The sequence below is a fragment of the Homo sapiens genome, chromosome 1, assembly GCF_000001405.40.
Source record: "Homo sapiens chromosome 1, GRCh38.p14 Primary Assembly".
In the NCBI taxonomy this organism is placed as follows: domain Eukaryota; kingdom Metazoa; phylum Chordata; class Mammalia; order Primates; family Hominidae; genus Homo; species Homo sapiens.
Genome location: NC_000001.11, coordinates 150,913,306 through 150,927,576, shown reverse-complemented (window position 1 = coordinate 150,927,576; position 14,271 = coordinate 150,913,306). Strand labels below are relative to the sequence as shown.

The window sequence follows — 14,271 nt, the reverse complement described above, 5'->3', positions numbered from 1 at the left end:
TCTCCCTCCCTATTCTCCAGAATCTGATGCTGAGATTTTTAAGAGTTCTTATCTTCTGCTGTACGCTAACACTCCTGAAAAAGATTTAAGAGTTTGAGACGGCATGGAGAACATTCATTAAGCAGTAGAGAGCTACTGAAAATAATGTTTTGGGCTGGCACAGTGGCTTACACCTGTAATCTCAGCACTTTTAGAGGCCGAGGCAGGAGGGTCGCTTGAGGGCAGGAGTTCAAGACCAGCCTGGGCAACATGGCAAGACTCGTCTTTACAAAAAAATACAAAAATTAGCCACGTGTGGTGGTGCACGCCTTTAGTTCCAGCTACTCAGGAGGCTGAAGTGGGAGGATCGCTTGAGCCCAGGAGTAGCTGCTGTAGTGAGCTATGTTCGCGCCATGCATTCCAGCTTGGGTGACAAAGTGAGACCCTGTCTCAAAACAAACCGAACTTTAAAAATAATCTTTTGGGATACTGAAGAGAACCAATCTATAAGATATTTTTGTGGTCTATATGTGTTCCTTAACTAATGTGATAAATCTTTGTATGCTATGCCTAATTTAAACAAAACCCCACCTGGGGATGGAGTTGATTTGGAACTCACTAACTCAGTGTTTTCTCTTTCATTACTTGTTCCCCTTATATTACTTTGCTTCCATGTGGAATTTTACTTTTTAAAAAGTCTATGATATTCAAACACACGAAAGCTTGCAGCAAAAAGGTTTCCCCCAAAGTACAGAGAAGTAAAGCAACCTGGGAATAAAACGTGGGTACCTAATATCCACAATCCAAATACTTCACACATTCGTGTGAACTGCTTTTTTAATCAAACGGTTAAAGAAAATCTGATTTTCAGCGCCTCCATTTTCCTCTGCCCACACACCAGCCCACCCCCGTGCTACCCATTCTAGGGGTGCGTCCTACCCATTCGCAAACCCAGTTCAGCCCCGCCCCCGTTCGCCTCTGGGGAAGACTTCCTTCCCACCCTCGCCCGACCCCCTCCCACAAACAAAACGTCCCAGATAAGCCTTTGGTCACCAAATAACTCAACAGTATTCCCCGCACCTCCCGTCTTCCAGCTTCAAGGGCTCTTTTTCACCAACCAGACCCCAGACTCACAACTCAGGGGTCGGCCTCGACGGAAAAGAGCGAAAGCGAAGGGATAAGGGAGGAGGGGGAGGGGAGGAAGCGTGAAAGAGGGAAGGGGAAGCAAAAGAAACGCCCGGAAGCAAACCTTTAGTGCCGTTCCGGTCACCGCGACGGTAGCCTGACGGGGTCAAATCCAAAGCCGCGGGGCGCCCCTCAGAGGCGACGAAAACTAAGGTAACTACGCATGCGTTAAGGCAGAGCCTTCCAGGGGCACACGTGAGAAGAGACTGGCAGGGCAGAGTAGGCGTGGCCAGTATATTACCGAGTCTCCGCCGCTCCTACCACCCTCGACTAGTGGCCCCATTACTATATTCATTGTGTAAAGACTTAGGGAAACGCTCATAGGTTCAGAGCTTTATTCTCTCAGTTTTACTTGAGTTTGTTTTGTTACATAAGTGATACAAATTGTAAAGGCTATCAAGATGTAATAAGAAAAACGTGATAATATTCTCTCTTGCCCCATCACCACTCCGCTCCTTTCAGGTAATACAGCTTCATTTTCCAGTCTTGTATGTACGAGTTTCTGTATTTGGATTTTTGTTGTTTTCATTTAACATGTGGACATTACCTGAAGCCAATAAAAAAGGTAAAACTTGTATTTTTGGCCGGGCGCGGTAGCTCACGCCTGTAATCCCAGCACTTTGGGAGTCAGAGGCGGGCGGATCACGAGGTCAGGAGATGGAGATCATCCTGGCTAACACGGTGAAACCCCGTCTGTACTAAAAATGTTAGCCGGGCGTGGTGGCGGGCGCCTGTAGTCCCAGCTACTCGGGAGGCTGAGGCAGGAGAATGGCGTGAACCCGGGAGGCGGTGCTTGCGGTGAGCGGAGATCGCGCCACTGCACTCCAGCCTGGGCGACAGAGCGAGACTCCGTCTCAAAAAAACCAAAAAAAACAAAAAAACAAAAAACCAATAACTTGTATTTTTGACACCTGAATAGTTTAGATTGTTTAGATTGTTTTCCGTTCTCAGCCCCGACAAATAGCGCAACAATAAAAATAAACATCCTTTTGAAGTAGTACTTTTATTTCTGTAGAAAAGATTCCCCAGGCCGGGCGCTTTGTGTCCGAGGCGGGAGGATTGCTAGAGCCCAGGAGTTCCAGACCAGCCTGGGCAACACGGCGAAACGCCATCTCGACTAAAAATACAAGGTAAAAAAAAAAAAAAAAAAGCCAGGCGTGGTAGTTCGCGTCTGTGGTCCCAGCAACTCCGCAGCTGAGGCGGGGGGAGGATCGCTTGAGCCCCGGTGGCAGAGGCTTCAGTGAGAGGAGATCGCGCCACTGCACTCCAGCCTAAGTGACCGAGCGAGACTCCGTCTCAAAAACAAAACAAAACAAAAAACAAAAAGAAAAGATTTCCCAAAATGGAATTTGAGTAAAATAATATGTGCTTTTTTCCTTTTTTTTTTTTTTTTTTTTTTTTTTGAGAAGGCGTTTCGTTCTATCGCCCAGGCTGGAGTGCAATGGCGCGATCTTGGCTCACTGCAACCTCCACCTCCCGGGTTCAAGCGATTCTCCTGGCTCGTCCTTCCGAGTAGCTGGGACTACAGGCGCGTGCCACCACGCCCGCCTAATTTTTTGTATTTTTAGTAGAGACGGGGTTTCACCGTGTTAGCCAGGCTGGCCTCGTCACACCTCGGCCTCCCAAAGTGCTGGGATTACATACAGGTGTGAGCCACTGCGCCGAGCCTTCCTTTTTTTGTTTGTTTGTTTGTTTTTGAGACTGAGTTTCGCTCTTGTCACCCAAGCTGGAGTGCAATGGTGCGATCTCGGCTCACTGCAACCTCCACCTCCCGGGTTCAAGCAGTTCTCCTGCCTCAGCCTCCCGAGTAGCTGGGATTACAAGCCCCTGCCACCACACCCGGCTAGTTTTTGTATTTTTGGTGGAGACGAGGTTTCGCCATGTTGGCCAGGCTGGTCTCAAACTCCTGACCTCAAGTGATCCACCCGCCTCGCCTCCCAAAGTGCTAGGATTACTTACAGGCGTGAGCCACTGCTCCCGGCCCTTTCTTTCTTTTTCTTTTCTTTTCTTTTTTTTTTTCTGAGACAGAGTCTCGCTCTGTCGCCCAGGCTGGACTGCAGTGGCACGATTTCGGCTCACTGCAACCTCCACCTCCTGGGTTCAAGCGATTCTCCTGCCTCAGCCTCCTGAGTAGTTGGGACTACAGGTGCGTGCCGCCACGCCTGGCTAATTTTTTGTATTTTTAGTAGAGACGGGGTTTCACTGTGTTAGCCAGGATGGTCTCAATTTCCTGACCTTGTGATCTGCTCACCTTGGCCTCCCAAAGTGTTGGGATTACAGGCATGAGCCACCTCGCCAGGCCTTTTTTTTCCTTTTTTTTTTTGAGACGGAGTCTCGCTCTGTAGCCCAGGCTGGACTGCAGTGGCGCGATATCGACTCACGCAAGCTCCGCCTCCCGGGTTCCGCCTCCTGGGCCTCCCAAAGTGCTGGGATTGGGATTACAGGCGTGAGCCACCGCAACCGGCCTTTTTTTTTTTTTTTTTTTTTTTTTTTTTTTTTTTTGAGACGGAGTTTCATTCTCGTTGCCCAGGCTGGAGTGCAATGGCTGGATCTCGGCTCACCACAGCCTACCTACGCCTCTGGGTTCTCCTGCAACAGCCTCCCGAGTAGCTGGGACTATAGGTGCCCACCACCACGCCCAGCTAATTTTTATATTTTTAGTAGAGACGGGGTTTCATCATGTTAGCGAGGCTGGTCTCGAACTCCTGACCTCAGGTGATCCACCCACCACCTCAGGTGATCCACCCACCACCTCAAGTGATCAACCTGCCCTGGACTCCCAAAGTGCTGGTTTTATAGCGGTGAGCCACTGCACCCGGCCATTCTCCTGCCTCAGCCTCCCGAGTAGCTGGGACTACAGGCGCCCGCCACCACGCCCGGCTAATTTTTTGTATTTTTAGTAGAGATGGGGTTTCACCGTGTTAGCCAAGATGGTCTCGATCTCCTGACCTCGTGATCTGCCCCCCTCGGCCTCCCAAAGTGCTGGGATTACAGGCGTGAGCCACCGCGCCTGGCCTTTTTTTTTTTTTTTGAGACAGAGTTTCATTCTTGTTGCCCAAGCTGGAGTGCAATGGCAGGATCTCGGCTCACCACAACCTACGCCTCTGGGGTTCAAGCGATTCTCCTGCCTCAGCCTCCCCAGAGGCTGGGATTACAGGCATGCACCACCACGCCCGGCTAATTTTGTATTTTTAGTAGAGATGGGGTTTCTCCATGTTGGACAGGCTGGTCTCAAACACTCGACCTCAGGTGATCCGCCCGCTTCGGCCTCCCAAAGTGCTGGGATTATAGGTGTGAGCCACTGCACCCGGCCCCTTTTTTTCCATTTTAATAGAATCTGCGGTCAAATTACCTTTCTAAAAGGTTGTAACAATTATTACTCTCACTAGCAAATCTGAAAGTGTTTCCCCACACCCCTATTAGTACTGGGTGTTAACTACTTAATTTTTAAGAACTTGATATGTATTAAAATAGTATCAGTATCAGGATAGACTAGGTTATGTTGTGGAAACAACTCCAAAATCTGAGTGGCTTAAAAGAAAAAAAAAAGGCGTGTTTCTTGCTCACACTACATAATCATCTCTGGAAGGTATGGTGGGGCTCTGCTAATGATAGCTACTGGGGAAACCCACACTGATGAGTAGTAATACCAGAGGGAAAGAATGCTAGAGGGACTCATATTAACAAAATGACTCAAGACACTGATTTTTACAACTCATTGACCTGAATGAATCACAAAGTCCTACACAACCACCAGGGGGCCAGGAAGAGCAGTTATCTTACCTCTGGGAGGAGGGAGAACCTGGTGTGTCTGATGAACCAGCTTTATTGACTACCACAGCGTCTTATCATTGCTTTAATTTGTTCATGTGTCTTTACACTAACTGTACTAGTTATTGAATCTACATTTCATTTAAAAAGTACAAACCAGAACCTTGTGTGTGAGGCTGGAAACACAGCCCAAGCGCCAGAACTGCCAAGTCCTTGAAATTCTCTCTTGTTGACCACATTTTCACCTGTGCTCATTTCACCTGCTCAACAGTTTCCTGGGACCACCCTAAGTGCCTATTTTCAATTAAGACAGCAGAAATTGAGGTGTGGAGAAGTGAAGGGTTCCTCCAGATAATTGAAATTCATCATGTTCTAAACTCATTTCATTATGGTATCACCTAACCTGAGCTAAAAATTTTAGACATACTACTCCCTAAACACACACACACACACAATATTTGTTGAATACTTGCTACATACCAGGAACTGTTCTAAGCACTTGCCAGTTATTAATTCATTTAAACTTCACAATTATCCTATGGGGTAAGAACTAATATTATTGTCCCTTTTTTATAGATGAGAAAACAGAGGCACAGAAATAAATTTCCCAAAGCTACACAGCTAAAAAGTGACAGACCCAGGCAGTTTGGCCATACACTTGGTGGTCTTGAACCATCATTCAGTGTAGCTTGTTTCCTCTTCTTTCTTTTCCTATTCGTATTCTTTTTTTTTTTTTTTTTTTTTTTTTTGAGATGAAGTCTCACTTTGTCATCCCAGACTGGAGTGCTGGAGTGCAGTGGTGCCATCTCGGCTCCTCAGCCTCCCAGGTTCAAGTGATTCTCCTGCAACAGCCTCCCGAGTAGCTGGGACTATAGATGTCCACCACCATGCCCAGCTAATTTTTATATTTTTAGTAGAGACGGGGTTTCATCATGTTGGCCAGGCTGGTCTCGAACTCCTGACCTCAGGTGATCCACCCACCACCTCAGGTGATCAAACTGCCCTGGACTCCCAAAGTGCTGGTTTTATAGCGGTGAGCCACTGCACCCGGCCTCTTTTCCTATTTTATTGGCTTTGTTTAGCTCTTATTTCTTTTCTTTTTCTTTCTTTTCTTTTTTTTTTTTTTTTGAGATGGAGTCTCGCTCTGTCGCCCAGGCTGGAGTGCAGTGGTGTGATCTCGGCTCATTGCAAGCTCTGCCTCCCAGGTTCACTCCACTCTCCTACCTCAGCCTACAGGCGCCGACCACCATGCCCGGGTAATTTTTTTGTATTTTTAGTAGAGACGGGGTTTCACCGTGTTAGCCAGGATGGTCTCAATCTCCTGACCTCGTGATCCGCCTGCCTTGGCCTCCCAAAGTGCTGGGATTACAGGCGTAAAACACCGCACCTGGCCCTTTTTCTTTCTTCCTTCCTTTCTTTTTTTTTTGAGACGGAGTTTTTGTGTTCTCGTTGCCCAGGCTGGAATTGCAATGGCGCAATCTTGGCTCACCGCAACCTCCGCCTCCTGGGTTCAAGCAATTCTGCCTCAGCCTCCGGAGTAGCTAGGATTACAGGTATGCGCCACCACGCCTGGCTAATTTTGTATTTTTAGTAGAGACGGGGTTTCTCCAGGTTAGTCAGGCTGTTCTCGAACTCCTGACCTCCGGTGATCCGCCCACCTCAGCCGCCCAAAGTGCTGGGATTACAGGCGTGAGCCATGGCACCCGGCCTTAGCTCTTGCTTCTTGCCAGGATAAAGTAACCTCCTGATTGGTAGGCCTTATTGTAGATTCTTCCTATATGTAGCTCTAAAATATAGTTCTGATCATGTCATATACCCTGCTTTAAAACTTTTTTCTTTATGTCTACAAAATAAAGTTTATCTCCACAGTATAAAATTTGAGGCTCTTCATAATTTGGCCCCAATTTACCTCTTTGGCCATATTTCCCACCCCTCTCTTCACACTTCTGATTATGTGCTGTTTCCCTAACAAATTTATATATTTCACTTTTGTATCTCCACATCTTTATTTATCATGGTCCACCTCCTATAATTTTCCCTCCCTTTTTCTGTCTAGTAAAATATTAATTGTCTAAAGTTTAAATAATGTCTTCTCTGAGTAGTTTTCCTAGACTGGGAATTGAAAAGCATTAGCATGTATCAGAATCACCTGGAGGACTGTTTTTTTTGTTTTGTTTTGTTTTTGTTTTCTTTCTTTTTTGTTTTTTGAGTGGAGTCTTGCTCTGTCATCCAGGCTGGAGTGCAGTGGCACCATCTCGGCTCACTGTAACCTCCACCTCCCAGGTTCAAGCGGTTCTTCTGCCTCAGCCTCCTGATAGCTGGGACTACAGGCACGCACCACCACGCCTGGCTACTTTTTGTATTTTTAGTGGAGACGGAGTTTCACCATATTGGCCAGGCTGGTCTCAAACTCCTGACCTCATGATCCACCCGACTCGGCCTCCCAAAGTGCTGGGATTATAGGCGTGAGCCACAGTGCCCGGCCAAGAAGGGCTTGTTAAACCATATTGCTGCCCCACACCCAATGCTGGAGCGGGTCTGGATGCAGTCTGAGAATCTGCATGTCTAACATTTTCCCAGGTGATTGATGCCCATGCTATTGATCCTGAGACCAGAATTTAAGAATCAGTGTCCTAGACCGTCACTCATCCTCTAAAGAATTAACTTCTACCTCTGTACTTCCATTATTGTAGTTCATGCCACTTGTGAGTTATCACTGTATGCCTGTCTCCTCTACTAGTTTGTGAACAGCTCAAGGCTAAGATCCTGTCTTAATCATTTTTGTTTTCCCTAGCGCCTGATATATTGCCCCTGCACATCTGGTGGTCCTTGATATAGAATGAATAAAAAAATTCCCTTTATCTTTGCTCTGATTGAATTATATTTCTACTAGTTACATTCTTTCAACTTTCCATTATTAGGAGCAGGTGGGGTGGGGAATGAGGAATGGGGAATGTTGATGAGAAATAATGCTATTTTGGCTCGTCATATTCTAGTCTGATTTCTTCATTGCCCTGAGAAGGCTGAAGTGGTCAGTCCTGTAGATATCAGCAGAGGGAACTCAGGAGGTGTCTTCTAAGGTCTTGCTACTCAGTGTGCAATCAGGGAGCTTGTTAGAAATTTTAAATTTCTGGTCCCACTCAAGATACACTGAATCAGAATTTTTTTTTTTTTTTTGAGACGAGGTCTGGCTGTGTTGCCGAGGCTGGTCTCAAACTCCTGGGCTCAAGAGATCTTCCTGCCTCAGCCTCCCAAGTAGCTAGGACTATAGGTGCATTCCACCACACTCAGCTCTGAAGACTAACTCTAGTCAGAAGTGATTAGACCCTGCATAAGTGACTTACATTATTGAAATTTACAAATTATTGTAATACACGATTTGTTGCCGTTATTACTATAAAATAATAAACTTGCTCTGTTACCCAGGCTGGTGTGCAGTGGCATGATCTTAGCTCACTGTAACCTCTGCCTCCTGGGTTCCAGCGATTCTCCTGCTCCTGTGTCAGCCTTCCTAGTAGCTGGGATTACAGGCGTGCACCACCACACCTGGCTAATTTTTTTATATTTTTAGAAGAGACGGGGTGTCACCATGTTGGCCAGGCTGGTCTTGAACTCCTGACCTCAAGTGATCCGCCCGCCTCAGCCTCCGAAAGTGCTGGGATTACAGATGTGAGCCACCATGCCCGGCTCACAACCACATAGTTCTTAATACTTGACTGAGAAATCAGCATAGGGGTCAATACCTTGGAATGCCAAATGATCCTTTCTTTTTTTTTTTTTTTGAGACGGAGTCTTGCTCTGTCGCCCAGGCTGGAGTGCAGTGGCGCTATCTTGGCTCACTGCAAGCTCCGCCTCCCAGGTTCACGCCATTCTCCTGCCTCAGCCTCCCGAGTAGCTGGGACGACAGGCGCCTGCCACCATGCCTGGATAATTTTTTGTATTTTTAGTAGAGACGGGGGTTTCATCGTGTTAGCCAGGATGGTCTCGATCTCCTGACCTCGTGATCCACCCGCCTCGGCCTCCCAAAGTGCTGGGATTACAGGCATGAGCCACCGCACCCGGCCGATCCTTTCTTTGCACACAGACTCAAAGGAAATTAGATTATAATCTGAAGGTTGTTGAGTGATCTCAGAATCAAAACTAAATAACTTTTCAGGGATTAAAAGCTCAAAGGTTGCAGACACGAGGAAAGTAATGTAAAGGAGCTAAGTGGGGCAGGTGAGGACTGTGGCCACTTGGGTAGTCCATATCTCACCTACAGGGAGCAGTTGCTACTTAGTTTCAGCTAATTTTTGTCGTGTGGGATACAGTATTATTAGATATTCCCATTTTTCAAGTGAATTTAAACATCTATATTTTGTATGAAAGTGTGTTTAAAATGTTGGCAACTCATTCAAAAATTCTGTAAATTCAGCAATACTCTTTCTGTTTTTTTAGAGACAGTGTCTTGCTCTGTCACCCAGGCTCCCAGGCTACAGTGTAGTGGCATAATCCTAGCTCATTATAACCTTGAATTCCTGGGCTCAAGGGATCCTCCTGCCTAAGCCTCCTGAAAGGCACATGCCACTAGAGATGGGGTCTTAGGGTCTTGCTATATTGCCCAGACTGGTCTCAAACTCTTAGCCTCAAGCGATTCTCCCTCCTCAGCCTCATAAAGTGCTGGGATTACAGCCGTGAGCCACCATGCCAAGCCTGCAATATTATTATTATTTTTTTTTTTTGAGATGGAGTCTTGCTCTGTCGCAGTGGCACGATCTTGGCTCACTGCAAACTCCACCTCCCAGGTTCAAGTGATTCTCCTGCGTCAGACTCCCGAGTAGCTGGGATTACAGGCGCCTGCCACCATGCCTGGCTAATTTTTGTATTTTTAGTAGAGATGGGGTTTCACCATGTTGGCCAGGCTGGTCTCAAACTCCTAACTTCAGGGATCCGCCCACCTTGGCTTCCCAAAGTGCTGGGATTACAGGCGTGAGCAACTGCTGCCCAGCCCTGCAATATATATATATTACAGGTGTGAGCCACGGCACCCGGCCAGCCCTGCGATATTCTTTAAATCAACAATTCAACTTCTAGGACTTTAAGTGACATACTTTGTTTGTTTTGAGACGGAGTCTCACTCTCTTGCCCAGGCTGGAGTGCAGTGGTGCAAGTGGAGTGCAGTGGAGCCACCGTGCCTGGCTTTTACATACTTTTGAATTTGCATACTTTTGAAATGATTTAAGTGCTAAATTATTTTCTTCAGCATAATTATTTGAAACAGCAGAAGATTTGAAAATAATGTAAATTTCTATTGGCAGGCATTGGTTAAATTATGGCACACTCAAACAATAGAATACTCTTTAACCGTGTTTAAAAAAAAAAAAGCTAGGCCGGGCTCACGCCTGTAATCCCAGCACTTCAGGAGGCCGAAGCGGGTGGATCACAAGGTCAGGAGATCGAGACCATCCTGGCTAACACGGTGAAACTCTGTCTCTACTAAAAATACAAAAAAATTAGCTGGGTGTGGTGGCGGGCGTCTATAGTACCAGCTACTCAGGAGGCTGAGGCAGGAGAATGGCGTGAACCCGAGAGGCAGAGCTTGCAGTGAGCCGAGATCGCGCCACTGCACTCCAGCCTGGGCGACAGAGCGAGACTCCGTCTCAAAAAAAAAAGAAGCTAAGGAGGCTGTGTGTGTATTGATGTGGAATGATCTTCAAGATACAATATTAAATAAAAATTGGTGCAGAACATGGTATATAGTGCAGCATCATTTGTGTAACTAATGGTAATAATATATATTTTTTTCTCACATATACATAAAATATCCCTGGAAGGATACACAAGAAATTTTTAACGTTGGGCCGAGTGCAGTGGTTCACACCTGTAGTCCCAGAACTTTGGGAGGCTGAGGTGGGTGGATTATTTGATGTCAGGAGTTCGAGACCAGCCTGGCCAACATGGTGAAACCCCGTCTCTACTAAAAATACAAAAATTAGCTGGGTGTGGTGGTGGGCACTTGTAGTCCCAGCTACTCGGGAGACTGAGACAGGAAAATTGCTCGAACCTTGGAGGCTGAGGTTGCAGTGAGCTGAGATCGCACCACTGTACTCCAGCCTGGGTGACAGAGTGAGACTCCATGTCAAAAAAAAAAAAAAAAGAAATTGTTAACATTGGTTGTTTGTGAAGAGAGAACAGAAGGTTGAAGAGGAGTAAGAATTTTCACAGTACACCATTTTGTACCTTTTGAAATTTGACCCAGCACGTTGGGAGGCCGAGGCAGGTGGATCACCTGAGGACAGGAGTTCCAGACCAGCGTGGCCAACATGGTAAAACCCCGTTTCTACTAAAAATACAAAAAATGAGCCAGCCATGGTGGCAGGTGCCTGTAATCCCAGCTACTAGGAGGCTGAGGCAGGAGAATCACTTGAACCTGGGAGGCAGTGGTTGCAGTGAGCCGAGGTTGCGCCATTATACTCCAGCTTGGGCGACAGAGCAAGACTCCAACTCAAAAAAAAAAAAAAAAGAAACAAAAAAAAAAGAAATTTGAAACACGAAAATGGATAGCCTATTCAAAAAGTTTAGATTAAAAAGAAAGGAAAATATTTGGATAGATATATGTGTATATATATATATATATATGCACAAATGGACTTTATAGCGATTACCTTTGGAAAGAAGGAATGGGAAACAAGGCAGTAATCAAATAACTTTTTGCCTTTTTTTTTTTTTTTTTTGAGATGGAATCTCACTCTGTCACCAGTGGGGTGATCTTGGCTCACTGCAAGCTCCACCTCTGGGTTCATGCCATTCTCCTGCCTCACCCTCCCGAGTAGCTGGGACTACAGGCACCCACCACCATGCCCAGCTAATTTTCTGTATTTTTAGTAGAGATGGGGTTTCACCGTGTTAGCCAGGATGGTCTCGATCTCCTGACCTCATGATCCGCCCGCCTCAGCCTCCCAAAGTGCTGGGATTACAGGCGTGAGCCACCATGCCCGGACCTACTTTTTGCCTTTTTATCCCTAGGTGATGTTTGAAAAAATTGTTTTACAATATGCATGTATTACCTTTATAATAATAATTTTTAAAATGTTGATTCAAACACAAATGTAGAACCCCAACACCCACCAGACACACCCACATTAGTAGTGGGAGGGTCCTGGCCCAATGTAACTTCTCTGCAGACCAATTGGACCTGTAAATTGTTAGTTTGAGGTGGGTGGAAGGGATGATTAAGAACATCAGGTTAACAGAGATCATGTGATCAATAAGACCAAACAAACTGAAGGTCCATGGGCTGCAACTCCCTGAATCTCCGTACCAAGGATTATCTGGCCACCCAGGCTGGATGGAGTGCAGTTGCACGAGCACAGCTCACTGCAACCTCCGTCTTCCAGGCCTAAGCAATCCTCCCACCTCAGTCTCCCAAGCAGCTAGGATTACAGGCACGGGTCACCATGCCCAGCTAATTTTTTATTTTTTAGTAGAGATGAGATCTCACTATATCGCCCAGGCTGGTCTCAAGCTCCTGAGCTCAAGCGATCCTCCCACCTCAGCCTCCCAAACTCCTGAGATTACAGGCATGGGCCACCACACCCAGCCTCCCCTTTCTCTTGAACAGTATTCGTACTGGCTCCATGTGGATTTGCTTTAGATTGTTCATCTTTTTCTGCTTTCACAAATGATCCACTTCTTCTAACTGATGCATCTTTTCTTAGGTTACTGGAGAAAGTCAGATAATTGTCAAACCTGTGATTCTCCAGTGACTGCATATTGATGCTCTCATTAATCATGTGTTAGTCATGCAGTTTATGTTAAGAAGTGGTGGAGAGGTTAATCTCTGAGTTCCTGGAGGGAATGCACTGCAGTCCTCAAGTGCTGACATCAACCCTTTATTTATTTATTTGAGATGGAGTCTTGCTCTGTTGCCCAGGCTGGAGTGCAGTGTCGTGATCTTGGATCACTGCAACCTCCACCCCTACGTTCAAGCGATTCTCCTGCCTCAGCCTCCCAAGTAGCTGGGATTACAGCCACCTGCCACCATGCCCAGCTAATTTTTGTATTTTTAGTAGAGACGGGGTTTCACCATGTTGGGCCAGGCTGGTCTCGAACTCCTGACCTCTGGTGATCCACCCACCTCGGCCTCCCAAAGTGCTGGGATTACAGGTGTGAGCCACTGCACCCAGCCTTTATTTTTATTTTACTTTTCCACAAACACCGACATAGCTGACATCAATCCTAATCTGCTTTTCACCTGATCTGCACCTTGCCCTGAGTTTCTTTTCATCAAATCAAATCATGTATCTCTCTTGTCCCCCTCCCCACATCCTCACTTTACCTCCCTGCCAGCTTAACCGATACAATACAGTACCTTGTTCTGGTGCAGGCAAAGTCTAGTATCTTCCGCTTTGATTCCCCTGTCTCCATTTTCCCTGGAGGCTTACTCAAGCTAAGGAAGTGGGCAGTCCCACATCCAGGAGTCAGAAACAGAGACCAATGATCAGGTCTCTGCTAACAGTGCATGGCTAAAGTTGTGTCTCTATACCATGTGGTATTGCTGTTAAAACCCAGTCCAGCTTGGTCCCATGGATACATGTCTCCACTGAAGTGGCTACTTGCTGGTCCAAGTCACTGCATAAGCCCAAGTGATACCCTCCCAGTTAGATTCCAAGGTTATGGCTCTCAGTTCATACTCATATGCTAGGTTACTGTTGACTAGAATATTAGGCCATCGTGGCTGGATGTGAGGGCTTTGATTCTCCATCAACTGCTGTACTAAAACCAATCCTCTTCAGCCAAACCCACATTGAGTCTTGTTCAGCAATTTAGGTGCTCCCTTTCTTTCTAGTGAATTCTCTTAAAAGCTTCCCTGCCAGTTGGCTCATACACCACACCACTCTATCAAAGTCCCCTAACTTCAGACTTTGGAGAGTAAGGGCTATGATTTTCTTCCCTTTGCTCTTAAAAGATCCCTGGGGGCTGGGCGCAGTGGCTCACGCCTATAATCCGAGCACTTTGGGAGGCTGAGGTGGGTGGATCACTTGAGGTCAGGAGTTCGAGACCAGCTTGGCCAACATGGTGAAACCCTGTCTCTACTAAAAATACAAAAATTAGCCAGGCATGGTGGCGGGTGCCTGTAATTCCAGCTACTCTGGAGGCTGAGGCAGAAGAATTGCTTGAACCCAGGAGGCAGAGGTTGCAGTGAGCCGGAATCACACCACTGCCCTCCAGCCTGGGCAACAGAGTAAAACTCCGTCTCAAAAAGAAAAAAAGATCGCTGGGATGATGGTCAGAATCATGACCATCATCTGCATCATCATATATTATGTATTAATTTCCTATGACTGCCATAACAAG

General features: G+C 46.5%; 1 protein-coding gene and 1 long non-coding RNA gene across 21 annotated transcripts in view, besides 8 other annotated features; one reads left to right on the top strand and one right to left on the bottom strand.

The window, feature by feature from the left end:
- The window catches only part of SETDB1 (SET domain bifurcated histone lysine methyltransferase 1), a 38,475-nt gene extending 37,161 nt beyond the window's left edge, over positions 1-1,314 (bottom strand). For 6 of the 20 annotated variants that reach the window (NR_172060.1, NM_001366417.1, NM_001393961.1 and 3 more), the window contains exon 1: positions 1,229-1,314. The gene's annotated coding sequence lies outside the window, so the exon portion shown is untranslated. The other 14 variants (NM_001366418.1, NM_001145415.2, NM_012432.4 and 11 more) reach the window with 4 other exon arrangements.
- The window catches only part of LOC107985204 (uncharacterized), a 48,174-nt gene continuing 35,138 nt past the window's right edge, over positions 1,236-14,271 (top strand). Inside the window, exon 1 of the long non-coding RNA XR_001738231.2 lies at positions 1,236-1,317. This is a non-coding gene — a long non-coding RNA (uncharacterized LOC107985204). The remainder of the gene's footprint in view (positions 1,318-14,271) is intronic.
- Positions 8,772-8,916: an enhancer, noted in NCBI's record as "145 bp 1:150891209 sequence used in MPRA reporter constructs". NCBI's record gives its function as "activates a minimal TATA-containing promoter with rs12075597 allelic activity by MPRAs in C283T melanocytes {active_cell/tissue: C283T}" and the evidence as "EXISTENCE:reporter gene assay evidence [ECO:0000049][PMID:36423637]".
- Position 8,844: a transcriptional cis regulatory region, noted in NCBI's record as "rs12075597 or 1:150891209 MPRA-significant variant associated with a GWAS melanoma risk locus at 1q21.3". NCBI's record gives its function as "allelic transcriptional activity by MPRAs in C283T melanocytes {active_cell/tissue: C283T}" and the evidence as "EXISTENCE:reporter gene assay evidence [ECO:0000049][PMID:36423637]".
- Positions 10,104-10,248: an enhancer, noted in NCBI's record as "145 bp 1:150889877 sequence used in MPRA reporter constructs". NCBI's record gives its function as "activates a minimal TATA-containing promoter with rs12126004 allelic activity by MPRAs in C283T melanocytes {active_cell/tissue: C283T}" and the evidence as "EXISTENCE:reporter gene assay evidence [ECO:0000049][PMID:36423637]".
- Position 10,176: a transcriptional cis regulatory region, noted in NCBI's record as "rs12126004 or 1:150889877 MPRA-significant variant associated with a GWAS melanoma risk locus at 1q21.3". NCBI's record gives its function as "allelic transcriptional activity by MPRAs in C283T melanocytes {active_cell/tissue: C283T}" and the evidence as "EXISTENCE:reporter gene assay evidence [ECO:0000049][PMID:36423637]".
- Positions 10,492-10,636: an enhancer, noted in NCBI's record as "145 bp 1:150889489 sequence used in MPRA reporter constructs". NCBI's record gives its function as "activates a minimal TATA-containing promoter with rs4970929 allelic activity by MPRAs in C283T melanocytes {active_cell/tissue: C283T}" and the evidence as "EXISTENCE:reporter gene assay evidence [ECO:0000049][PMID:36423637]".
- Position 10,564: a transcriptional cis regulatory region, noted in NCBI's record as "rs4970929 or 1:150889489 MPRA-significant variant associated with a GWAS melanoma risk locus at 1q21.3". NCBI's record gives its function as "allelic transcriptional activity by MPRAs in C283T melanocytes {active_cell/tissue: C283T}" and the evidence as "EXISTENCE:reporter gene assay evidence [ECO:0000049][PMID:36423637]".
- Positions 12,539-12,683: an enhancer, noted in NCBI's record as "145 bp 1:150887442 sequence used in MPRA reporter constructs". NCBI's record gives its function as "activates a minimal TATA-containing promoter with rs4970985 allelic activity by MPRAs in C283T melanocytes {active_cell/tissue: C283T}" and the evidence as "EXISTENCE:reporter gene assay evidence [ECO:0000049][PMID:36423637]".
- Position 12,611: a transcriptional cis regulatory region, noted in NCBI's record as "rs4970985 or 1:150887442 MPRA-significant variant associated with a GWAS melanoma risk locus at 1q21.3". NCBI's record gives its function as "allelic transcriptional activity by MPRAs in C283T melanocytes {active_cell/tissue: C283T}" and the evidence as "EXISTENCE:reporter gene assay evidence [ECO:0000049][PMID:36423637]".